At 43.6% G+C, this 27,089-nt stretch overlaps 1 protein-coding gene and 1 long non-coding RNA gene across 7 annotated transcripts in view; one reads left to right on the forward strand and one right to left on the reverse strand.

The window, feature by feature from the left end:
- The window catches only part of ST8SIA6 (ST8 alpha-N-acetyl-neuraminide alpha-2,8-sialyltransferase 6), a 139,175-nt gene that overhangs the window by 70,226 nt on the left and 41,860 nt on the right, over positions 1-27,089 (reverse strand). For 4 of the 6 annotated variants that reach the window (NR_144322.2, NM_001004470.3, NM_001345961.2 and 1 more), the window contains one exon: positions 4,885-4,974. The exons of 1 other annotated variant lie outside the window; for it this stretch is intronic. Coding sequence is in view for 1 of the 5 variants with exons in the window: in NM_001004470.3 (NP_001004470.1) it covers positions 4,885-4,974 (90 nt within the window). In the remaining 4 variants the exon portion in view is untranslated. Of the gene's footprint in view, positions 1-4,884; positions 4,975-18,621; positions 18,644-27,089 lie in introns of those variants that run through there. One more of the 6 variants, XM_024447978.2, reaches the window with a different exon arrangement.
- Positions 1,290-22,640, forward strand: ST8SIA6-AS1 (ST8SIA6 antisense RNA 1). Its single transcript, NR_034129.1, has 3 exons — positions 1,290-1,429; positions 13,459-13,556; positions 22,322-22,640. It is a non-coding gene; the product is annotated as an ST8SIA6 antisense RNA 1 (long non-coding RNA).

A 27,089-nucleotide genomic window follows, 5' to 3' on the forward strand; every position in this document is an offset into this window, starting at 1 on the left:
GTCATCAGTAAAGGTAGGAACTGGCTATTTTCACTTCTTTTTGTGGTTCTTCAGTTGCCTCAGGCCATCTGGATGTATAAGTGCAGGCTTGGGCTCAGAAGCCTGACAGAGGTCTCATACCTCCCTAAAATGTATAAAACCAGGCTGTGCCCCAGCTACTTAGGGGAAATGTTGTCAGGACTTCCTGAGGCTGTGTCACGGGCGCATTCTCAACCTTGGCAAAATAAACTTTCTAAATTAACTGAGACCTGTCTCAGATTTTCTGGGTTCAAGTGCCTGTAAACACAACACTTTGGGAGGCCAAGGCAGGAGGATCACTTGCACCCAGGGTTTTGAGACCAACCTGGGCAACAAAGAAAGACCCCATCTCTACAAAAAATAGAAATTAGCCAGCCATGGTGGCACGCACCTGTCTTCCTGGCTATTCAGGAAGCTGAGGCAGGAGGATCGCTTGAATACAGCAGGTCAAGGCTGCAGTGAGCTGTGTTCGTGCCACTGCACTCCAGTCTCGGCGACGGAGTGAGACTGTCACACACACACACACACACACACACATACACACAGGCCGGGCGCGGTGGCTCGCACCTGTAATCCCAGCACTTTGGGAGGCTGAGTCGGGCAGATCACAAGGTCAGGAGTTCGATCACAAGGTCAGGAGCTCGATCACAAGGTCAGGAGCTCGATCACAAGGTCAGGAGCCTGGCCAATATGGTGAAACCCTGCCTCTACTAATAACACAAAAATTAGCCGGGCGTGGTGGCACGCGCCTGTAGTCCCAGCTACTGGGGAGACTGAGGCAGGAGAATCACTTGAACCCGGGAGGTGGAGGTTGCAGTGAGTCGACATCGCACCACTGCACTCCAGCCTGGGTGACGGTGAGACTGTCTCCAAGAAAAAAGAAAGAAAAGCATGTAGTTAACCTGCAACGACATCAAACACAGAGTTTCTTCTCCTTCCTCCTGCAAGGCTCTTGTATTGGTTCGAACCCTGAGAGAACGCCAACAAACAACACAAGGCAGTGTGGAGCAACAGGCAGTTTTAATGAATGCCTGAAGGCAGACCTTCAGGCCATTTCAGGCCGAGGCCTAAAATGGCATCAGCCCCAAATGAGGACGGGCAGGGGTTTTACAGTCTCCCGTAAACAGGAAGTGTTTCAGTCTGTGTATCTACTGCTACGTGATACCCGGTAGGCCTCTCTCTGGGTCTTCAGAACAGCTCTCTCCCCGCTTCTGCTATCTTGCTGACGCACGCTGATGACGTAAGCCGCCTTGCGCCTTGGGACTGGGCCTGAGAAGGGAGGAGTTATTCAGGCCTCCGCCAGCTTCTAGGCCCTGGGGATGGTCTTTCACCTCCCTCTTTCTGATCTCTTTTTCATGCTCCTCCTTGCTCCAAAGAAAAGCCGGATGGCAAAAGAGCCCAGAACCTATTGGTGAGTTCCACGTACGTCAGCCTCCCTGGGAAAAGTCAGGCAGAGATGAAACTGGAGGGTGAAAAGCTATGAGGGTGAAAGTGGATTGAGTGGGCCCAGTGGAAGACGCACAGCACCGTGGATTCCCCTTGCAAGCTTAAGGCCCGCTAGTTGGAATTTAAGGAAAAGAAAACAATAATTTTTTTTTTTTTTTGAGACGGAGTTTCGCTCTCGTCACCCGGGCTGGAGTGCAGTGGCGTGATCTTGGCTCACCACAACCTCTGCCTCCCGGGTTCAAGAGATTCTCCAGCCTCAGTCTCCCGAGTAGCTGGGATTACAGGCATGCGCCACCACACCCAGCTCATTTTGTGTTTTTAGTCGGGGCGGTGGGGCGGGGGGGGGGGGGTTCTCCATGTTGGTCTGGCTGGTCTCGAACTCCCCACCTCGGGTGATCTGCCCGCCTCAGCCTCCCAAAGTGCTAGGATTACAGGTGTGAGCCACCGCGCCGGGCCCAGAAAACTAGGATTTTCATAGGGCTATCCTTCTGTGAGAAACGGAGCTAACATACAGGACTGGACTGCTGTCACATCGATTAACCCAAATCAGAGATCTTAGCCAGTATCAAGCTTTCCTAATAATTTCAAAGATCTGCAGAGAAATGAGGGGAAATGGGGCTAGAGGTGAAGTGAAAAAGTTAAGAGATTTCTGCTGAACTCTAGGAGAGAGATTGCAACTCCTTTTACTTGTCAGGATAGAATAGACTATGATATGATAACAACGCCAAGCTCTCAATTGCTTTACAAAACAAAGGTTTGTTTCTTGCCCATGAAATGCCCACTGTATATCTGGAGGGCCGTCTAGGACAGCTGTGCTGTGTGTGGTTTAAGGCTTTCAATGGTTCATTTTCTGTGTCGACCTGACTGGGCTCAGGCATGCCCAGATAGCTGGTAAAACATAATTTCTGGTTATGTCAACAGACTCAGACAAAGCAGAGACAGGCTTGGGACATCAAGGGTGGACACCCCAGTCCTGTCTTCCCACACTGCACATGGCCCAGGATCGTAGGTGAGGTTTCTAGGTGAGGTCAGTGGGCTTCCTCACACAGCAGGAAACTTTAAATTGTTAAACGGTTTCTCTTTTAGACCCAGGGAGTTCCACAGCCTTTGAGCCATTCTCCAGGCAGTCCTGCCTCCTGGATCCTGGATTCCATTAACTTTAAGCAGGACCTCAGCCAGAGATCAGCCTGCTAGGGACACTCAATGGATGTGTCTCTTCCTCTAAGCAAATATCGTTAGTCTATTTACCCAGAGGCTCAGTGGAGAAACAGTTAAACCGGTTTACCTACCTTGGTTTCTTTATCCCCAGATCAAACTCCAACACCCCCAGGGAAGGGAAGGAATGGATTAGAGGCAGCTGTATAAACACTATTTCTAACATTAAAAGAAGCAGTGTGTGTGTGAGAGAGAGAGAAAGAGAATTATTATTAGGAAGAGAAAGTGAAAAACATGAAGGCAGGAAGACCGCTCACTGGGTCTTCCTTGTATAGGATTGGCATGTGGAAATCAGCAATACCTCTTACTGAAACCATCTTTGAAAATTATAACTGAGGAAATTATGACATGAAAGAAATCAGACCTAACTGACTACATCTTGCTTCTAATCTTTAAGCTGTCCTTGTTTATTCCTGGGTGTAGGCCGAGCTAACTTTGAGAAGGAATTCAGTTCGTGGTTTGAGTCTGAAACAAAATTGATAATAGCGCTTTCCTGAAAGGACCCCCTTCTGCCAGGGGACCAGTCTGCCTTTGCAGGACTAACAAATTAGCTACAAGATTAGAAATTACAGTTTAGGGGTCATGCAGACTCTGGCTCCAAGAGTCTGAACCTCCCCATGTTGCTCCTGGGGATACCATCACTATTGTAAAACCTAAGATCAGTACTTGAGATATTTTTCAGACCCTAGACTGGATGGATCAGCTGACACCCCCCAGACTCATAATCTGGCTCAGCCAGTTCTGCCATCCCACCCAGGAACAGAAGATGGCAAGAAAAACTCATTTCAACTCCCTGATTCGCTCCAGCCTGACCATCAGCACTCCCCACTGCCCAAGCGCCTACCCTCCAAATTATCTCTAAAAACTCTGATCCCCGATCCAACGCTCAGGGAGACTGATTTGAGTAATAAAACTCCGGTCTCCCACACAGCCAGCTCTGCGTGAATTACTCTTTCTCCATTGCAATTCACCTGTCTTGATAAATCGGTTCTGTCTAGGCAGTGGGCAAGGTGAAACCACTGGGCGTTTACATTATCCTGAACCATCTTCAAATGTTGTCAGGCAAGCATAAAGCAAGATGAAACTCGGGTTATTTCCTTTCAGGGAGGTTACAGGCATAACCTCGTGTCCCTGCCCAACACACACACATCCTTTGTCCAGCACCATTGGACTGGGCACCTTCTAGGAACAATCAGAGTCTCAGGCCACCAGTGCCTCTTCCATGTAGATGAGGCATGGAGCACTTGGATTTCCTTTTTTTGAAGGAGATGATGTAGCAAACCCTCTAAAATATAGGATTGTAAGCAGCGCAGGGGAAGCTGAGGGAGTGTCACAGCTGAGACTGGGGGGTAAATCGTTCACCTGGCTGAAATTGTAAGCACAATTTTGTACAAGTGTGTATTTTTCTAGGATAGCATTCAGAATACATATCATGTTCTCAAAAGGATTGGGGGCCTATAAAAGTTTAGCCAGTATAACTACATGGTGTTTTGAGGAGTTTTTTGGTTGATTTTAGAGACAGGATTTCGGTCTGTCACCCAGGCTGGACGAAGTGGTGCAGTCATAGCTCACTGCAGCCTTGAACTCCTGGGCTCAAGCAATTCTCCTTCCTCAACCTCCTGAGTAGCTGAAACTACAGACCTGAGCCACCACATTCAGCTAATTTTAAAAATTAGTTTTAGAGTCAGGGTCTTGCTCTGTCCCCTGGGCTGGAGTGCAAGTGGTGCCATCATAGCTCACTGCAACCTTGAATTCCTGGGTTCAAACGATCCTCCTGGCTCCGCCTCTTGAGTAGCTGGGATTACAGGCACATGCCACCCAATTTTAATTATTTTTTGTAGAGATGAGGGTTTTGCTATGTTGCTAAGCCTGGTCTGAAACTCCTGGCCTCAAGCAATCCTCTAGCCTCTGCCTCCCCAAGCACTGGGATTACAGCCATGAGCCACCGCACCTGGCCCCTACATGGTATTTTTAACAAATGCGGATCCAGGGACAAATAAGTTGAGTCCCACTGCCAGGGTCTGACCCTGGTACACATTGTTTGGCCCCAGGTCCATCATGCTCATTAACAGGAGCTTCAGAGCCCAATGGTAAGCCTGAGAGTGAACAGTCTCATATTCCAAATGACTTCAGAGACACTGTCAGACATTCTGAAAATAAAACCCTTGTTGTAAAAGGAAATTAAATGTGAAGAGTAGAACTTACCCTTTCGTTTTGTTAGAGAAAGACTCAATGCCATATTGCAGATTTTTGCATTTCTCCGTCAGTTGGAGCGACTTCTCATTCAGATATGTGCTGTTTCATGAAAGAGATTTTTAAAAAGATTGATTTAAAATGAGAGCTTATAAGATATTGTTAACAAAAATCAGATTTAATTGATAAAGTGTGTCCAAATGAAGTCTCATCTTTACTCCATTATTGGATTTCTCCATGGAAAAGGAAATTAATATTTTCACCTCTGATGGGTCTAAATGAAAAAAAAAACAAAAAACTTACGCTGTAAAGTCAAACATAAGAGAACTCTATTTTGAAGACCTTTTTTTTTTTTTTGAGATGGAGTTTCACTCTTGTTGCCCAGGCTGGCGTGCAATGGCACAATCTCAGCTCACTGCAACCTCCACCTCCCTGGTTCAAGCGATTCTCCTGCCTCAGCCTCCCGAGTAGCTAGGATTATAGGCGCCTGCCATCACGCCCAGCTAATTTTGTATTTTTAGTAGAGACGGGGTTTCTCCATGTTGGTCCGGCTGGTCTGGAACTCTCGACCTTAGATGATCCATCCGCATCAGCCTCCCAAAGTGCTGGGATTACAGGCGTGAGCCATCGTGCCTGGCCTTTGAGGACTTTATACTGGCAGGTTTTCATATTCTGAGGTTAGTATTTACAATGAACAAGTTATTTAATAGTTTTAATCACTGTGTGTTTATTTTATTTTTATTTATTTATTTATTTATTTTTTAGATGGAGTGTTGCTCTGTCGCCCAGGCTGGAGTGCAGTGGTGCATCTCGACTCACTGCAAGCTCCGCCTCCCGGGTTCACGCCATTCTCCTGCCTCAGCCTCCCGAGTGGTGGGACTACAGGCGCCTGCCACCATGCCCGGCTAATTTTTTGTATTTTTTTAGTAGAGACGGGGTTTCAGCATGTTAGCCAGGATGGTCTCGATCTCCTGACCTCGTGATCCGCCTGCCTGGGCCTCCCAAAGTGCTGGGATTACAGGCGTGAGCCACCGCTCCCAGTCGCGTTTATTTTTAAAGGATGTTTTCTTCGGTAGAAAATATGCAGACATAGGAGATCATTAACTCTCTCCATAATGAACACAAATCTGGCCTTTGATTATTCTGATAGCTGCAATATACTGGCCTGGTGCTATTTGTTTTATAAACTTTGAAAATTGGAGGTGGAACAAAAGAAAAAAAATCTGAAGTCAGGTTAAGGACATGGGTTACAAAGTTAGCCTGCCTAATGAGCCTCAGGGACATAGGCATGTTATTTAACCCACTCCAGGCATAGACTTCCATATTTCTAAATCAAGGATAATTGTGCTTACCTCATAGTGTTATTGCCATGATATATATATGCTAAGGAAACAATGTAAACCACTTGTAACATGCGTCACATATATTAAGTGCTCAAAAAAAAATCAACTATCTCTTTCCTTAGACTTAAAAAATATATATGCAACTCTAACTTGCTGTTAATGCATTTATTTCATCATCCTGAAGGTATTCGTTGATAGCCTAATATGGGTTGGGCCCACACACAGGTTATTTAGGACAGAGAGGAAGAGAAAATAGACATGGTCTTATTCCCTAATGGAGCTTGCAGTCTGAATAAGGAGAAAGGTATCAATCAACAAATAACCAAACAAATGAATATAGAATTATGAACCGTGATTGGTTATGGTTGAACCAGAGTAGGTGGCTCAGAAGAGTAGGTCTCTACTCACACTGAGGGGTCAGAGGAGGCCTCCAAGTGAGTGTCATTTAGATGGAGACACCCAAGGATGATCCAAACAAAGTGGGTAGTGCGTTCAAGGCAGAGGAAAAAGTGTGTGCAGGCCAGGCCCAGTGGCTCACACCTCTAGTCCCAGCACTTTGGGGAGCTGAGGCAGGTAAATCACTTGAGCCCAGGAGTCCAAGGCCTCAGTGACCATGATCGGGCCACTGCACTCCAGCCTGGGTGACAGAGTAAGACTCTGTCTCAAAAAAATAAATGTGCAATGGTTCCAAAATGGGGAGCAGCCTGGATTATCTGAGGAAATAAAAAGATAATAGGATTCAAGGTTGAAGAGCCATGGGGTGATTGCAGAGAAATGAGGAGAAATGGGGCAAGAGAGGAAGTGAAAAAGTTAGGAGGTTTCTGCAGGACTCTAGGAGAGAGCTGATGGCAACTCCTTTTGCTTGTCAGGATAGAATAGACTATGATGTGATAACAACGTCAAGCTCTCAGTTGCTTTACAAAACAAAGGTTTGTTTCTTGCCGATGAAATGCCCACTGTATGTCTGGAGGCCCGTCTAGGGCAGCTGTGCTCCATGTGGTTTAGGGCTTGTGATGGTTCATTTTCTGTGTCAACTTGATTGGGCAAAGGGGTGCCCAGATAACTGGTAAAACATGATTTCTGGGTGTGATGTGAAGGTATTTCTGGAACAGATGAGTATTTGAATCAACAGACTGAGTAAAGGCTGCCCTCACCAGTGTGGGTGGGCAGCATCCAATCTGCTGAGCACTTGGATAGAACAAAAAAGTGGAGGAAGGGTGAGTTCACTCTCTCTTCTTGAGCTGGGACGTCGTTTTCTCCTGCCCTTGGACATCGGTGCTCCTGGTTCTAGGACCTTCATATTCAGACTGGGACTTACACTGTTGGCCCCATGGTTTCCATCAAAGTCTCCTCAGCCTTTGGGCTTAGACTGAGCTACGCCACTGGCTTTCCTGGGGCTCCAGCTTGGAGAAGGCAGGTCATGGGACTTCTCAGCCTCCCCTAATTATGGGAGCTAATCCCTCGTAATAAATCTCTTGCTATCTCTCTATTGTTTCTGTTTTTCTAGAGAACTCTGACTAATACAGGGATCCAAATTGCTTCAGTCTTGTGGCACCTTCATTTCAATAAGCTGCTTCTATAATTGATGTGGCAGGAGAAGAACATGCTGGAAGGTCTTGCCCTGTATCCAAATGTTTGAACCAGAATTACAATGCATCATTAGCCAGAGCTGGTCACATGCCCCACCTGATTGCAACGTGGGAGTCAGAAATGAGCCACCCTCCTGTGTCCCCAGAGAGGAGATCTGACACAGGTGTAACTGGAGACTTCAGCACACCTGTGTCCATCGGCAGGCAGAGAAGTGGACAGATTTGAGATCCATTCTAGAGGCAAGACTGACAGGACTTCCTAGGAGATTGGATGTGGGAAGTGAGGGATAGGAAGGCATAAAGGTAAAGAAATAAACAAGACAGATTCATAAGTAATTCTCCAATATTTCTCAGAAATCCTTTCTAAAAACTGCCTGCAGAGTACACATGGGCTCACAAAAGTCCCTCTTAATCCTGATAGAATTTATCTCCCCCGCCACTTCCTTCCCAATTCCCTCTAATTCATTCTCCACGCATCACCTTCTGTGCTTTCTGAATGTATTATACTGTCCAAGGATTTGTTTATTTCCCATTTGCCTTGTATTTTATGCAGGCAGGACTGTTAATGAAGTGAATTACCAAGCCAGCAATGCTTTGAATTACGATGGCGTTGCAGTATTGAATTGTGAAACTGTGACCAGTAGGCACCAATAGGATTGTGTCTCCTATGCCTCTTCTTAAATCAGAGAGGGTATCTTTTTAAATAAAAACTCAGAATAGGTTTAGTTGCGCAAACTAAAATCACAGAAGATACGTGGAAACAAATGAGAGGATCTGGGATAGAAGTGAAGGTGACGGAATGAAGTCTTGGGGACCAAACAGGGTCTTCAGAGTCAGCAAGGCCAGTCTCTGAATCTGGGCTCCACTCTCTGACTTTAGCTCTTGAGCTTTGGGATTGCCTTTAAGAAAAAAAAAAAAAAAATCCTTACCCAATAAAGGAATTTTAGGAATTTAATGGGATGTATATAAAAACACCTGACAAGCAGAAGTCAGTAAATAGATGTGTTCTTACTCTCTCAAAGTCATTATTGCTTTATTTCCTCAAATCAGTCATTGTTATTGCCATAGAGGTAGGAAGCATCTCACACTGGTAAGAAGTCACCCAGTAATGAAAGGTACAGACAGAGAAGCCCTTTTAGTTATCTTTGCTTCTGTACCTTCCCTGTCCCCTCCTTTTCATTTCAAGAGTCTTCAGAGTTTTCTTCCTTTTTTCATCTAATGTCATTCAAACTTGCTCCAGAAAGAGACCTTCTCAATTCTGGGATAAGAGAGGACACTAGCTGTGAGCAGATCCCATCTAAGAGGTTGGGGCACACCACAAGTGAAGACGTTGGGTTGAGTCCTTTTTTAAAAAATGCTGATTTGGGAACATCTCTCAGACAAGTCATAGGGGATTGAGAGAAATTGATCCAGGTGAAAGTAGGAATTGCAAAGACTCTAAACCAGGAACAACATCGTGGCACAAGAGATAGCTGCAAGACAAGCGTGGGCTGATTTGTAAGCCCAGGAAGGATTACTGGGTGATGTGGTTTGGCTGTGTCCCCACCCATATCTCATCTTGAATTATAGCTTTCACAATTCCCACGTGTTGTGGGAAGGACCCTGTCGGAGATAATTGAATCACGGGGGGCAGTTTCCCCCATACTGTTCTCATGGTAGTGAATAAGTCTGATGGTTTTATAAGGGGAAACCCCATTTGCTTGATTCTCATTCTCTCTCTTGTCTACCACCAAGTAAGACATGCCTTTCACCTCCCCAGCCACGTGGAACTGTGAGTCCATTAAATGTCTTTTTCTTTATGAATTACCCAGTCTCGGGTATATCTTTATTAGCAGCATGAAAATTGACTAATATACTGGGGATCATATCACATCCTGCTGCAGGAGAACTCCTTTCCAGGTAGAAGTCCAGCATATGAATGCAGAGGGACCCACCTAAAACTAACCAAGTTAGAAGTCTGAGCAGTTGAGTCTAGGGACAGAAAAAGAAGAGGACTCAGTAGGGTTGCCAGGCAAACTCTAAGAACCAAAACCCTGAAGCCAGGCTCTTACAGGCTCAAAGTATGAATTCTGTTTCTGTGAATTCTGAGACAAAAAAAAAATTTTTTTAATTTTATTCTAATTTTCTGTTGAAAGCACTTCTTAAAAACTTGCCAGGCATGGTGGCTAATGCCTGTAATCTGAGCACTTTGGGAGGCCAAGGCGGGCAGATCACCTGTGGTCGAGAGTTCAAGACCAGCCTGACCAACATGGAGAAACCCCATCTCTACTTAAAATATAAAAATTAGTCGGGTGTGGTGGCACGTGCCTGTAATCCCAGCTACTTAGGAGGCTGAGGCAGGAGAATTGCTTGAACCCAGGAGGCAAAGGTTGTGGTGAGCCGAGATTGTGCCATTACACTCCAGCCTGGGCAACAAGAGCGAAACAAAACAAAAAACCCTTCATACCAGAATTAGCTGAAATAGAAAAAATGACCTGTTCACATCAGAACTGCCAAACTATACAGTTGAGAGCGCCCCCAAAGAGATAAGTTATGGGAGAGACCATGGCGACCCTCATGGTGTTCTGCTAGAGCTCTGTAGTCGGGTTAGCATGAGAAGCCTCCGACCCATGAGTGGAGATGGCTCTAACTGTTCTGCCAATACTTCTCTAATTGCTTCATTAGAAGATCACAATCTCTGTTCACATGTCACTGTGCAAGATTATTTTTCTGCCCACTTGTAGCATTTGTCACATCTTGACAGCCCTCTCAATTCCCTGATCCACTGACATCTTGTCACCTGGCAAATCTGCCATAATGTAGCAATACAGCCCCTGGCATCCTATATTCCTATACCTGACTCATGAGGAGTGCTGGAAAAAAAATCATGCGGGTGGTTTGGTGCCTTGGTAAATTCATAGTGTCCAATTTGTAGGGCCTTTTATATACCTTGGCAATTCTATTACATGCCCAGTTCCCTCCATGGCTACACTAGGCATCCACTGTTTCTTATTGTCTTTGCCTATTCTCTGGACTCCTAACTTCTCATTTAACTGTGCTCCTTTTTCAGAGAAACATGGTGCAGCTGGGTGAGCATTGGCCTGTAAATACAAGCCACCCTGACTTTCCTTCTCAGAGAAAGAAATGCCTCCCCTCTCACAAAAGAATAATCCACCTGCCATCACATCCCTCTCTATCTCCTCTGAGATCCAGCCCATCCCTTGATTTTTCTCTCTCCTGAATATTTCCCCTTTCCCTACCACAGTCCTTTCCCAGCTCAATTCCATCTCAAAATCAAAAACAAACGAAATCACCCATTCTGCTGTGTTCCTCCATCTATTGCCTTACCTTTCATTCAAAGTGCAACCAACTCTTGTCCTTTTTCTTTACCTGAAAATCCACTAAACCATTCTTGGAAAGCATCACCAAGTCCAAGAGCTATTTCAACATTTGCCATTTGACCCCTGAGGGTATTTGAACCACTGACAACTCACTTAGTACCTGGCTTCCACCACAGTCCTCTCTTCTTGTCCTTTGACCTCTGACTACTACTCAGGGTCCTTTCGCAGTTTCTTTCTTGGGCCAGTGCATAAGAGTGGGTGTTTCCCATGAGTCTTCTTTTTCTGATGTGAATTTAAAGTAAGTGGCTGGTATTCAGTTTACTGGTGTTCCCCCATACACTGCCTCCATGTCTCATGTCTTAGCCTGCTGGCTTCCTGTAAACATCTCTGCCAACCTTTTTCTCCTTCAGCTCCATCCTCATTTTCTCCGCGAGGGGTTGTGTCGTTTGCAAATTGTTTTTTGTTTTTTTTTTTTTTTTTGAGACGAAGTCTCACTCTTGTCCCCCAGGCTGGACTGCAATGGCGTATTCTCAGCTCACTGCAACCTCCACCTCCTGGGTTCAAGTGATTCTCCTGCCTCAGCCTCCTGTGTAGCTGGGATTACAGGATGCCTGCCACCACGACTGGCTAATTTTTGTATTTTTAGCAGAGACAGGATTTTACCATGTTGGCCAGGCTGGTCTCGAACTCCTGACCTCAGGTGATCCGCCCGCCTCGGCCTCCCAAAGTGCTGGGATTACAGGCGTGAGCCACCGCGCCTGGCCTCCTGTGCACATTTGATCACATCATTTCCCTGCTCAAAGACCTTCCATCCCCATCGCTCTTGAGATGTGCTCCGTACTCCTTATTAACTGGGCATGCAAAGCCATCCACCACCTGGCCCCTGCCTGCATTTGTTAACCATTAATTGGTACACATTTCCCTTTTTTAATTCCTTCCAGTCTTATATTATGGCTTCTGGCTGCTTTTATTATTTGATTACAGAATTTGTTTGGTACTGGCAACCAAGACTTTAGGCATGTTTTCATCACTTCAGTATGTTGCGGGGGGGAAATCTTTAAAAAGGTTGGAAAAAAAAGATACACAAAAACAAGCAGTTCTGCTATCACTGTTATCCACATATGGTTGATATACTTTTAAAAAATTATATCTGTATAAGTCATTCTTGAATTGAAAGTGATCACTTTACAAGCCCCACTGACAAGATTCCACAGAATAGCCAAAAGCTTAGAGACTACAATGGCTACTGCCAAGTAAGAAAAATTAAGACTCTGGGCTGGGCACAGTGGCTCATGCCTGTAATCCCAGCACTTTGGGAGGCTGCGGCGGGTGGATCACCTGAGGTCAGGAGTTCAAGCCCAGGCTTGTCAACATGGTGAAACCCCGTCTCTACTAAAAATACAAAAATTAGCTAGGCATGGTGGCGCATGCCTGTAATCCCAGCTACTCAGGAGGCTGAGGCAGGAGAATCACCTGAACCCGGGAGGCAGAGGTTGCAGTGAGCCGAGATTGCACCATTGCACTCCAGCCTGGGTGACAGAGCAAGACTCCATCTTAAGGAAAAAAAAAAAAAATTAAGACTCTGATAGTGCGAAGAATGTCTCTTGAAGGAAACAAACTATTCAATCCCTACAAAATAATGCCATCAGTGCTTACCGATCATCCACAAAGACCTCTAAAACATAGAATTAATGTCACCCTCTGTATATGACTCGTAATTAATACAATCATGCAATCGGTCCCCTGGCCAAGTAAAACATCCCAAAGAATAATCTGCAAATGGGCAACAAAGGAGTTTCAAGAATATCCCAAATTCTATTTACAATGACTATACAGGGGCTAAAACTGGATTGTGAATTTAAATGTAAAGCTTAAAACCAAATCAATGTTACTCTCTCTGAAGAAAGAATGTTTTAACAGACAGGGAATATTATCAAAGAACAGAAAGCCCAAAGGGTTATACAGTTCTTTCCATATACTTAGAAACACTCTGTCCTCATTCTAGGGATGAGGAGCCAGGAGAGCACCCTAGCCACCAGCATCCTGAGCACTGTAGAGGGATGTAACAGGCTGACCTGCCCCTGGGACAGAGGCCACAGTAATTAGCTGTGCACCAACTTCCAGCTCATTAAGCAAACTTCTAATTGTAATGTAGCCACCGCCCCTGCAACACACATACACCATGTAGTTTTCCTGAGGGAGAAAGGCAAGCATCGTAGTCTACTGCATGGTTTGAATACTCTTTTTAATTAACAAATTAATATTCTGATTTATAAATCGTCTTGTATGAATCTGTTTAACAAAAGTCTGCCTTTGTATATCCATTGTACTTAGGAACTGACAAAATCAAGTCACGGCGCCTACAAAGATGAGGGGCAGATTCTGGCTGCCTTTTAATTTCGTCCTTCACCTGATATCTGTGCCAGAGAATGGTAAGTTCTGGAGATAAAACAAGGTAGAAAACAGTTTCTTTGCTGCCTTGAAGCAAACAGCCTGGTGGGGATGACAGACAAGTAAACACACAATTACCATCTGAGCTTGCAGAATGAAAGCCGGCTATCTTCCATAATCATATTAATTTCAAGAAACCATGATTCTATGTTTTGGTGAATGCCATTTAATTCAAAATAGAGGAACTTTTCTTAAAATGACTTCATAGAACTTCATTCTTTTATACACAAACATTGCAGGCAGCTTAAAATTGCAAAAATGTCTGCAAATAGTATCTGCTTAGTTGGCTTTTATTTGCCTTCAGTTACCCTCAATGAAGATTAATTAGCTAGCTCTCTGCTTCTGAGTCAGTTACCATAATGTATTTTGCCCTCCTACCATAGTTGCAAGATAGTTTTCAACAATGTAAAATCAGCCAGGTGTGGTGGCTTACACCTGTAATCCCAGCACTTTGGGAGGCAGAGGTAGGGGAGGGTCTTGAGCCTAGGAGTTTGAGACCAGCCTGGGTAACATAGTGAGACTCCTGTCTCTATATACAATTTAAAAATTAGCCAGATGTGGTGGTGTGTGCCTGTGGTCCCAGCTACTCAGGAAGCTGAGGTGGGAGGATTGCTTGAGTCTGGGAGGTGGAGACTGCAGTACGCTTTGATTGCACCACTGCACTCCAGCCTGGATGACTGAGGGAGATTCTGTCTCAAAAAAAAAAAAAAAAAGTAAAATTGTAACTCTCATGCACATATAAAATGAACATGTGTGAAAGCTTTTATTTTACTCATAATGAGGGAAGCAGTTCAAAGGAGAATGCAGAGCACCACCACCTTTGCAGATCAGGAATATTGAGGTGAATTTGCCAGTAAAAGAACTGGCAAAGTGAGGGGCAGGGTGAGTCATTAGGACCTCTATCATGCAGGACATAATTTGCATATTTATGGACAAGAATTATTTTGCATTGCTATCAGTTAACTGCAACTTGGAGTTATAAAATAGCTCCCACAGGATCAGAATCAGACACTCAGAGGTGTGTGATCTGGCCAGGTGCATTGGCTCATACCTGTAATCCCAGCACTTTGGGAGGCCGAGGTTGGTGGATCACCTAAGGTCAGAGTTCGAGACCAGCCTGGTTAACATGGTGAAACCCCATGTCTACTAAAAATACAAAACTTAGCCAGGCGTGGTGGCACATACCTGTAATCACAGCTACTTGGGAGGCTGAGGCAGGAGAATTGCTTGAACCTAGGAGGCGGAGTTTGCAGTGAGCTGAGATCACGCGACTGCACTCCATCCTGGGTGATAAAGTGAGACTGTCTCCAAAATAAAATCCTGGCAAACCAAATCCAGCACATCAAAAAGCTTATCCACCATGATCAAGTGGGCTTATCCCTGGGATGCAAGGCTGGTTCAACATACGCAAATCACTAAACGTAATCCAGCATATAAGCAGAACCAAAGACAAAAACCACATGATTATCTCAATAGATGCAGAAAAGGCCTTTGACAAAATTCAACAGCCCTTCATGCTAAAATATCTCAATAAATTAGGTATAGATGGGACATATCTCAAAATAATAAGAGCTATCTATGACAAACCCACAGCCAATATCATACTGAATGGGCAAAAACTGGAAGCATTCTCTTTGAAAAGTGGCATGAGACAGGGATGCCCTCCTTCACCACTCCTATTCAACAAAGTGTTGGAAGTTCTGCCCAGGGCAATCAGGCAGGAGAAAGAAATAAAGGGTATTCAATTAGGAAAAGAGGCAGTCAAATTGTCCCTGTTTGCAGATGACACGATTGTATATCTAGAAAACCCCATCGTCTCAGCCCAAAATCTCCTTAAGCTGATAAGCAACTTCAGCAAAGTCTCAGGATACAAAATCAATGTGCAAAAATCACAAGCATTCTTATACACCAATAACAGACAAACAGAGAGCCAAATCATGAGTGAACTCCCATTCACAATTGCTTCAAAGAGAATAAAATACCTAGGAATCCAACTTACAAGGGATGTGAAGGACCTCTTCAAGGAGAACTACAAACCACTGCTCAACTAAATAAAAGAGGACACAAACAAATGAAAGAACATTCCATGCTCATGGATAGGAAGAATCAATATCGTGAAAATGGCCATACTGCCCAAGGTAATTTATAGATACAGTGTCATCCCCATCAAGCTACCAATGACTTTCTTCACAGAATTGGAAAGAACTACTTTAAAGTTCATATGGAACCAAAAACGAGCCCGCATTGCCAAGACAATCCTAAGCCAAAAGAACAAAGCTGGAAGCATCACGCTACCTGACTTCAAATTATACTACAAGGCTACAGTAACCAAAACAGCATGGTACTGGTACCAAAACAAAGATGGAGACCAATGGAACAGAACTGAGCCCTCAGAAATAATACCACACATCTGCAACCATCTGATCTTTGACAAACCTGACAAAAACAAGAAATGGGGAAAGGATTCCCTATTTAATAAATGGTGCTGGCAAAACTGGCTAGCCATATGTAGAAAGCTGAAACTGGATCCCTTCCTTACACCTTGTACAAAAATTAATTCAAGATGGATTAGAGACTTCAATGTTAGACCTAAAACCATAAAAAACCCTAGAAGAAAACCTAGGCAATACCATTCAGGACATAGGCATGGGCAGGGACTTCATGTCTAAAACACCAAAAGCAATGGCAACAAAAGTCAAAATTGACAAATAGGATCTAATTAAACTAAAGAGCTTCTGCACAGCAAAAGAAACTACCATCAGAGTGAAGAGGCAACCTACAGAATGGGAGAAAATTTTTGCAATCTACTCATCTGACACAGGGCTAATATCCAGAATCTACAAAGAACACAAACAAATTTACAAGAAAAAAACAACCCCATCAACAAGTGGGCGAAGGATATGAACAGACACTTCTCAAAAGAAGACATTTATGCAGCCAACAGACACATGAAAAAATGCTCATCATCACTGGCCATCAGAGAAATGCAAATCAAAACCACAATGAGACACCATCTCACACCAGTTAGAATGGCGATCATTAAAAAGTCAAGAAACAACAGGTGCTGGAGAGGATGTGGAGAAATAGGAACACTTTTACACTGTTGGTGGGACTGTAAACTAGTTCAGCCATTGTGGAAGACAGTGTGGCAATTCCTTAAGGTTCTAGAACTAGAAATACCATTTGACCCAGCCATCCCATTACTGGGTATATACCCAAAGGATTATAAATCATGCTGCTATAAAGACACATGCACACGTATGTTTATTGTGGCACTATTCACAATAGCAAAGACTTGGAACCAACCCAAATGTCCATCAGTGATAGACTGGATTAAGAAAACACATATACACCATGGAATACTATGCAGCTATAAAAAAGGACGAGTTCATGTCCTTTGTAGGGACATGGATGAAGCTGGAAACCATCATTCTCAGCAAACTATCGCAAGAACAAAAAACCAAACACCGCATGTTCTCACTCATAGGTGGGAATTGAACAATGAGAACACTTGGACACAGGAAGGGGAGCATCACACACCGGGGCTTGTTGTTGGGGTCGGGGGAGTGGGGAGGGATAGCATTAGGAGATATACCTAATGTAAATGACAAATTAATGGGTGCAGCACACCAACATGGCACATGTATACATATGTAACAAACCTGCACATTATGCACATGTACCCTAGAACTTAAAAGTATAATAATAAAAAATAACAACAACAAAAGTCAAAGAAGTATGTGATCTCAACAGTGCAAACCTATCCACTGTGGCACAAAATTTTCCCTACACCATGAACACTATCACTGCCCATCACTCTAATGTTAAGGGAAGGATTCACAGGAATGAACCTCACAGACTCACTTCTTCTGAATTTCAGTCTCCCTCCACCCCACAGATTACCCCAAACAGGGAAACAGATGGACCTGGCTCAGGCGTGAGTCCTTTGGGCAGTCAAAGTATTGGCTTGCCTCAGTTGCCTGAAGTGGGAGTTATCAAAAGGACAGATTTGATATGGAGATTTATAAAAACCTCAAATTCAGTGTGCAAAAGTGGGACCCTAATTAGGAAATGGTGTCTTTAGGCGAGTAGAGAGAAAATAAAATAGAAACAGATTGAAAACAAGTTGCAAACATGAGCATCTGTGCCTCATTTCACTGGTCCAGAAGTGACAGGTCCTTGGCTGTGGGAAGCAAGCCTAAAAGTGTAGAGTCAGTGTGGAATTCACCCACAGTACAGTGTTTCTGTCTTTTTTAACCGACTTCCAACGATATTCTCTTACTCTAGGCTGGTCTGAAGGTAGTGAGTTATCTCAATTGATTGTTCACCGTCAGTTACAGATTGAATTCCTCATTCTACTCTTTTTCCCCTTCTCATTACTGCACTTGTCTGGTCTAATATACATATCTTTTCTTACTCTAAACAGCTAAGATTATTTTGACCTCTCTTTAGTGTGCCTTGAATTTGAAAATCTTGGATACGCTAAGTATTTTTTAATATTAATATCCACATTCCCTGATGTAAGAATCCTTATATGCCATCTTAGTTAAGAATGAAGGAGCTGGGCACGGTGGCTCATGCCTGTAACCCCAGCACTTTGGGAGGCCAAGGCAGGTGGATCACCTGAGGTCAGGAGTTTGAGACCAGCCTGGTCAAATGATGAAACTCCGTCTCTACTGAAATTACAAAAAAAATTACCCAGGTGTGGTGGTGCATGCCTTTAATCTCAGCTACTTGGGAGGCTGAGGTGGGAGAATCGCTTGAACCCGGGAGGCAGAGGCTGCAGTGAGCAGAGATGGTGCCACTGCACTCCAGCCTGGGTGACAGAGGAAGACACTGTCTCAAAAAAAAAAAAAAAAAAAAAAGAATGGAGGCCATAAGAGTGATGTATATTGAATGGTCATTAGGTGCCATGTGTATTGTTTTAAGAAGTTTACACATGTGTCATCTCATTTCATTTACTTCTCACATTGAACATACAGGTTAGATACTAGGTCTATTTTATAAACTGAGGAAATTGAGACACTGGAAGATTAAATAACATACCCGAAGTCGCTGTCCGAGTTGGAAGTGGAGTGGAGTTTTGAACTCAGACGTTACGCCATTCTACCTCCCTCATAGGGGAAAATTTGCCCTTCAATGGAGAACCACCTCATTGTCCACAGCACCAGCAGCCCCTCCATTGTATCGAATTCTGAGTCTATGGGAGCTGACAAAGATGTTCTCCTTAACCAAGCTACCCCAGTTCTTTTTCAACAAGCCCTCATCCTTGGACACAGCCTCAAGAGCTCATCTTAGCAAAGATGTTACTAAGTCAGTTTGGCCAGAATCCCCTATGCTTAATATCTGACCATCTTTGATTTCTGATAAAATTCTTCATCCCTCACCATGCCCTAGGTGATGTCTGATCACCCTAGTCAGCCTTACCCAGAATTGCACCTTACCTCTGATGTTTCCTCGTAGTGATTTTCCATCCACTGACCCCGCTGCGCTGCTCCTTGCCTATAAATCCCCACCTTTCCTTGTATTCGAAGTTGACCCCAATCTCTCTTTCCTACTGCAAACCTCATTGCAGTAGTCTCTACACCTACCACAATAGTCCTGAATAAATTCTGCCATACTGTTTTAACGAGTGTCATGAATACTTTCTTCTTTAACTGAGCTATTTTGCAATTCTATAAATTGTGCATAACTGATAACAGTACAAAATAATTCTTATCCATAGGTATGCAAATGAATTGTGTCCAGGGGAGAGGCAACTCTCCCTCTCCCACACCACAAGGAAAAAGTAGTTCTGCCTCCATTGACACACTCAGCTCAATAGTTCTGATCTATACATGTAAATGTATCTATTCTGTGGATTCTCCTTTGAACTGGTTATAACACCTTTCCAGTTTTCTCACTGATAATTTAAATTAAATCTTTACGGTTGAGCCCAGGAGTTCGAAAGCAGCCTGAGCAAAATTTCAAGAACTCACCTTTATAAAAAAACTTTAAAAAATAGCCAGGCATGGTAGTACCTGCCTGTAGTCCTAGCTACTCCAGAAGCTGAGACAGGAGGATTGCCTGAGCCCAGGAGTTCAAGCCTGCAGTGAGCCACGATCACACCACTGAAATCCTGGGCAACAGTGAGACCCTGTCTAAAAAATAAAAAATAAAATAAATATTTAAAAAGTGATCATTTTCGTAGCTGTATGAAATACATGATTTTACCTTATATGAAAATTATCTTTTAACACCTCAAATGAGGTTGCTGACAACATATTTGAATCAAATAAACAAATTACAGTGATCAAGAGGATAAACTTTAAAGGCAAGTGGACAATCACTCAAATTCCTGCTCTGATACATACTAGATGCTTAACCTTAAGAAAGTTATTGGCTGGATGTGGTGGCTCATTCCTGTAATCCCAGCACTTTGGGAGGCCGAGGTGGGCATTTCACAAGGTCAGGAGTTCAAGACCAGCCTGGCCAACATGGCAAAACCCTGTCTCTACTAAAAGTACAAAACTTAGCCGGGCGTGGTAGTGGGTGCCTGTAGTGCCCCCTACTCAGGAGACTGAGGCAGGAGAATTACTTGAATCCAGGAGGTGGAGGTTGCAGTGAGCCACGATCATGCCATCATTGCACTCCAGCCTGGGCAAGAGAGCAAGACTCCATTTCAAAAAAAAAAAAAAAAAAGAAGAAAGTTATTTAGCCCTTCTATGATTTCAGCTTCCTCAGGTGCAAAATGAGAATAATCCTCTCTTTGATGAATTTGATGCAAAATCTGTATGAGACAATGCATAAAAACACTTAGCACAGTCATTGGAGTGGAGACCCTGCTTAATAATCAGTATTCAGCAGTATTTGTTCAAAGAAACCAGAATGTGTCACCTCAAAATATGCCTCTTTGACATAAATGTTTTTTGAGCTAAAGGCAATTAAGAAGCAGACAGAAAAGCTCTCTGCCTTCCTTCTGTTTGCCTAAAAGCAGGGCAGAGAATTGCAAAGACAAAAGGTCTTCTACCCTCCCCCTATTTTGCACCTAAAGCCAGGATGTAAATTCTCCTTTACAACCTTTTATCAGCTCAGCAACAAAGCCAGGAGATTCTGCCAGTGGACTTCACTCCCTTCATTTCCCATAAATTTGCCTTCCCACATTTTCCCACTTCTAGGATCCTGGGACAGCTTCCCCTTTGTCTTGTCACTTCTCTGAGCTGTATTGTTCTTTGTCGAATATACGACATAAGCCAGACTCTTAAAGCCACTGCTTTGAGTTACTTTTCTCCCACGGGATGTGCACTGCATGCATTAATATACTTGCTTGTTTTTCTCTTGTTAATCTGTCTTTTCTTGTGAGTCTGTCCCAACTACAAACGTATGAGGGTTGAGGAAGAGTTACTTTTTTCTCCCATTCATAGTCTATACAGCGGCGGTTGTTACTGTCTTGGCAGGCCTCTTAAGGCAGCACTTCTTCAACTGCAGTGTGCCCATGAATCACCTGAGAAATGTGTTAAAATGCAGATTCTGGTTGAGTAGATCCAGGGTAGGCCCTAATATTCTACATTTCTGAAACCGAGGGCTAATCTTTTTTTTTTTTTTTTTTTTGAGATGGAATTTTGTTCTTGTTGCCCAGGCTGGAGTGCAACGGTGCAATCTCAGCTCACCAAAACCTCCGCCTCCCGTGTTCAAGTGATTCTCCCCCATCAGCCTCCCAAGTAGCTGGGATTACAGGCATGTGCCACCACACCTGGCTAATTTTTATTTTTAGTAGATATGGTGTTTCTCCATGTTGGCCAGGCTGCCTTGAACTCCTGACCTCAGGTGATCTGCCTGCCTTGGCCTCTCAAAGTGTTGGCATTACAGGTGTGAACCACCACGTCCGGCTACTGAGGGCTAATCTTTTAAGTTGCTTGCACCTTGTTGATTTTTGCTGCTTGTTGATTTTTTAAACCCACATAGCTTAAAGTCAGGCTGCTAAATGCTATAACTTAGCCTTCACTAGCTTCCCTATAAATAACACTCTGACATATATGTCACCATAGTAACAATTGCTTAAGTTGTCTTTCAGGAACTTGGGGCGGCCCCTGTCCAGTTCAAACCAGCTGAGACCACCAACCCTCTGAATGCACCTGCATGGATGTCGGAAAAGTGACACTTGCCATCAGAGGGCCAAAACTCCACCCTCAGATCATGTTAACACTGCTATTTTCTGACCATGTGTCCTAAGAAGAGCCGTGAGCCCAGACTGCACTTGCTCAGATCACCAGTTACCTCACTTCTCCCCACCCTCAATCACCTTTCCCCACCTTAGACCATCCTAATTCTTTACTCCATAAATATCCCTAAGCATTATCCTTGAGGAGGTAGATTTGAGAGCTGTTCTCCCATCTCCTGGCTGGGTTGCCCTGTGAGTAAATCTTTTCTCTTTTGCAAAACCCATTGTCACCATGACTGGCTTACTGTGTGCAGGCAGAATGAACCTGGTTTGGTGTCATATCTACGAGCTCCCAGACAATGCCAGTCCCACTGGACTAAGGGTCTCACTTTGAGTAACAAGTTCTTAAAAGTCTCCTGGATCAAGTTCTTCTGCCCTGACCGTCTTTTTCATAATAGTCTAGAGCAAGACTTCACACACAAGAAATGTTGGACTGTCTCATAGGCAGAAGGGTTTGTGGGAAAAGCAGTGAGTCCATTTGAAAGCTACAAAAGTAAAGTGAGCTCTCATCATGTCACCAATAAGTGTTCTGTTTTTAATTTTCAGATAAAAATCATAATAAAGGAAATAATGGAAGAGGAGACTTATGTTACTGGGGACATCTAACATAATTATTTTCCTGATTCAGTGGCATGGTTCAGTCTTCCAGGAGTTCTGCTACAGAGAAGAGAGTAACCCCCATCCATCATGGCCAAAGCACCCAGTCAGGCTCCGCTCTGGATCCAGCCCGACAAATGCAACCCTTGAATAGGGTTTGTGCAAGCAAACTGGATGACGACCGAAGAAACCCTGTCGCTTCTGAGAAGACACCCAATCCAAGAATGTGAGTTCTGGAAATGTCATTAAATGTCAGTTATATACATGCTTACGTGTCCATATTAGCTATGCAATCACCATCAGCAAGTTCTTTTTCTCAACCAAAAAAAGAAGTAAATTTCTCTGCTAATTAAATATTTCCTCAGGCCAGGCACGGTGGCTCACACCTGTAATCTCAGCAGTTTGGGAGGCCGAGGAGGGTGGATCACTTGAGGTCAGGAGTTCAGGATCAGCCTGGCCAACATGTGAAACCCCGTCTCTACTAGAAAGGCAAAAATTAGCTGGGCATGGGGGCATCTGTAATCTCAGCTACTTGGGAGACTGAGAGAGGAGAATCGCTTGAACCCGGGAGGTGGAGGTTGCAGTGAGCCGCGATGGTGCCACTGCACTCCAGCCTGGGTGACAGAGCGAGATTGTCTCAAAAAAAAAAGATAAAATAAATAAATGAATAAATAAATACATCTTCACTAAAACTCAAATAAGTGAATTTTGAGAGAAGAATTTTATTTTTTATTTTTATTTATTTATTTTTTTTGAGACGGAGTTTCGCTCTTGTTACACAGGCTGGAGGGTGATGGCACAATGTTGGCTCACCACAACCTCTGCCTCTCGGGTTCAAGAGATTCTCCTGCCTCAGCCTCCCAAGTAGCTGGGATTACAGGCATGTGCCACCATGCCTGGCTAATTTTATTTTCTTTCTTTCTTTTTTTTTTTTTTGTATTTTTAGTAGAGATGGGGTTTCTCCATATTGGTCAGGCTGGTCTCAAACTCCCAACCTCAGGTGATCTGCCTGCCTTGGCCTCCCAAAGTGTTGGGATTACAGGCGTGAGCCACAGCATCCAGCTGAAATAAGAATTTTAATGGGAAAATACCTTATCTGTATTCAGTGTTGACTCCATGCTAATTTGAGTGTTTGAGATGGCTATTAGGTGCTGTAACATTAAATAATTTACAAATACTTAAATATTTGAACCATAACTACAGTTTTAAAATAAGTTTACTCATCTAAGAGTGAAGATTCTCTTACAATCTGCAAGTCTATAGCTCAACTTTTACATATTCATGTTTTATATTCATTTTCAGGAAAGCATCAGGTTCAATACCTAGGAACTCCTGTAGAGGGTGTTGTGGAATCTTCTTTAAAAGAACAAAACAAGGCAAAACAAAGTTTAATAGGGTAGAGCAGCCAGGTGTGGTGGGTCATGCCTGTAATCTCAGCAATTTGGGAGGCCAAGGCAGGATCTCAGCAATTTGGGAGGCGAAGGCAGGCAGATCACTTGAGCCTAGGAGTTCAAGACCAGCTTGGGCAACATAGCAAGACCCTGCCTATACCAAAAAAAAAAAGTGAACCTAGGAGTATGAGGCTGCAGTAAGCTGTGGTTGTACCAGTGCACTTTGGGAGGCCAAGGTAGGCGGGTCTTCTGAGATCGAGAGTTTGAGACCAGCCTGACCAACATGGAGAAACCCCGTCTCTACTAAAAGTACAAAATTAGCCGGCATGGTGGTGCATGCCTGTAATCCCAGCTACTCGGGAGGCTGAGGCGGGAGAATTGCTTGAACTCAGGAGGCAGAGGTTGTGGTGAGCCAAGATCGCGCCATTGCACTCCAGCCTGGACAACAAGAGCGAAACTCCATCACAAACAAACAAACAATAAACAAAAACCATAGAGTGATTTCTGGCCAACAGAGCAAGAAAGAAGTGAACCAATGAAAACCGGTCCAAGTCTGGGAGTCAATATGGAAAAGCTGCCTAATTAATGTGGAAGCCCCAGGGAAATGATATACCATGAAAACCTAACACTACAAAAACTAGTTGTCAGACACATGTGAGCAGTGAACAGAATCCTAATATGCTGGTTTAACATTCAAAACTGGAGAGTGTTTGTGTATCTTCTAAAGACTGTTTGGGGTTTATTTGTGGAGTTCAGCTGAGTGTCATCAGAACAAAGATTAGTGCAAAAAATCTTTCAGAAATCATGCCCAAACATTTGCATGCACCTTAAATAAGAAATGAAATAGCAAGAAGAGTATGTCACAATAAAGTATAAATAGCAAGTGATATGTCTCATCGTACTGAGACAGTTTTATAAATGAGGCAAAGGCCTTGTCAAAAAATAATGATGATTTTCAAAATTCTGAAACGCAAAGGAGGAAAACTACTTCATTCAGTTAACAGGAAGCACACAAGAATCTCCCCATCAACCAAGATTTTTTTTTTCTATAACCCACGCTTTGTAAGACAATAATAGCAAAAACTATAAACTAGAATTTGTTGAAAGAACAACTTCTAGAATTTGCCCTTTATGTGCTGTTTTACCATTGTCATGTCTGTCTCTGGTATGACTTCCTCATCTATTAGTAGCCTCCTAATAAATTTGAACAAATGAATGAATGAATAAGAGACAACTAAGCATGAGGTATTGCAAGATGGTAACTCATCCAGGGAAAATTAAAACCTGGAGTGGATCAGATGGAAAAACAAAATAAGACACTAGAAAAAAATCACCAGGAGGGTTTCAAACCAAAAGATCCCCTGGTTAACCTTCAGCTAATTATAAGATTTAATTAACTAGAAAAACTCAATCCTTGTTTATTCTATTTAATTGAGATTTTACCATATTTAAAATGATGTTACTCAAGTGTTCTCATTAATATTTAATGAAAGTGTGAGAGAATTGGCTAACCAAATTTACTGTGCTTAGGTAAACTGTAATTAGGAAGGGTTAGCAGAGCATCCCAAGGGACCTATCAATCACAAAATGAAGCGATACAATTACAGATGAATTTCAACAAGGAAACACACAAAACAGTGATCCTCAAAAAAGATGGAATAAAATTACTTGAATGTGGTAGTCGGTTCTGAGAAATGCAATCAATCACATGTCATTTCAGACAACTCAGAAGGAATAACCCTACCCAACAGACTTGAACTCTTTGTGTGTGTGTGTGTGTGTGTGTCTGTGTGTGTGATAGAATTTCACTCTTGTCGCCCAGGCTGGAGTGCAGTGCGATCTCGGCTCACTGCAACCTCTGCCTCCCAGGTTCAAGCAATTCTTCTGCCTCACCCTCCCTAGTAGCTGAGATTATAGGTGCCCACCACCACACCCGGCTAATTTTGTATTTTTAGTAGAGAAGGGGTTTCACCATGTTGGCCAGGCTGGTCTCGAACTCCTGACCTCAGGTGATCTTCCCACCTGGGCCTCCCAAAGTGCTGGGATTACAGGCATGAGCCACTGCACCTGGCCCAGACTTGAACTCTTGATTGCATGAAAGTGTATTAATCTTCTATCTGCTTATTCCCAATTTCCCAGCTGATAAAATGCCCCACTGTTATTTCACTTAAATTTGGAATAACCTGCATCTAGTTAAGTTGGAGCTACTTTGTCTTGTTGCAGATTTTCTTTTGCTTTGCTGTCTTCATTCTAACTTGGCAGAGCCCAGGTGCTTTGTCTCTATTTGCCTGCAAGACCTCTTTTCCAAGACATGTCAGGTTTCTCTCTAAAGTACCTTCCACCTGGAGGATATCTGTTCTTGTTCTTTAATTCCTGGCCCTATTTCCTATTCATCTGAAAAACTAGGCTTTGTGAGCAGGATCATGCATGGCAATGAGTTCTAATGAGTTTTTAATGTTTCACACTTCATGATGAACATATATTTGCATTTCAGAAAATGCTTTTAAGGAATGTTTTTTTTTTTCTGCCCTCACTCCTAACTCAGTTGCCTTTAAGCAAAACCAAAGAGAGCCATGGCCAGCCTGTTCAAATGGCTGCAATCATTTAAGCCCCTCTCGCTGCACCCTGGCCCCTCTTGCCTCCCTAGCCTGCCCATGCTTGCCCCTGTCTCAACTTCTACCCCCACTCCAGCTGAAGAGATTTGCCATTCTCAGCTTTCACCTTTGGGGATCCCTCTTGACCATGGTTAGCAATTGCTGTGACCATCCTCACATCACAGATTTTTGGGCTTCTGTTTCTTAGGACAATGCCTGCTCTCCCTGCTAGCCTATCCCTCATCCCAGGCCCTCCAACCTCCAGCCACTGCAACTCTAGAGCCACATCCTATCCCATTGACTAACCCAACTGCCAAGCCAAGCCCAATCCCCAGACCTGGAGCTCAGAGAAATTATTAATCCAATCAAAGGCACTAAAGTTGGGATTCTGACTCTGAAGCAGGTACCAAATTTTGGACAGAGAGGGGCTCCTGAAACCATACTATTCCTGCATTAAGTGTCTGGCACTAGGCAGGGGATATGATGTGATCTAACAAGGCCATGCACTGGAATTAACCTGCGTGAGCTCCACTTGGCTGCCCTCTAAAGGTCAATGCATTGTTTGAGCCTAGGGGAGCCAGTCACTGCTACATCAATGGCTGCATCACGGTATCCTTTTTAGGACTAAACCTGCATTTTCCTAATATTCAGGTCTGTAGAAACTTTGACTGCAAGAATTTTACAGGAATGGGTAAATATCTGTAAGTACTTAAAAGTATATATGGTAATATA

Source organism: Homo sapiens, chromosome 10, assembly GCF_000001405.40.
Source record: "Homo sapiens chromosome 10, GRCh38.p14 Primary Assembly".
NCBI classification, from domain to species: domain Eukaryota; kingdom Metazoa; phylum Chordata; class Mammalia; order Primates; family Hominidae; genus Homo; species Homo sapiens.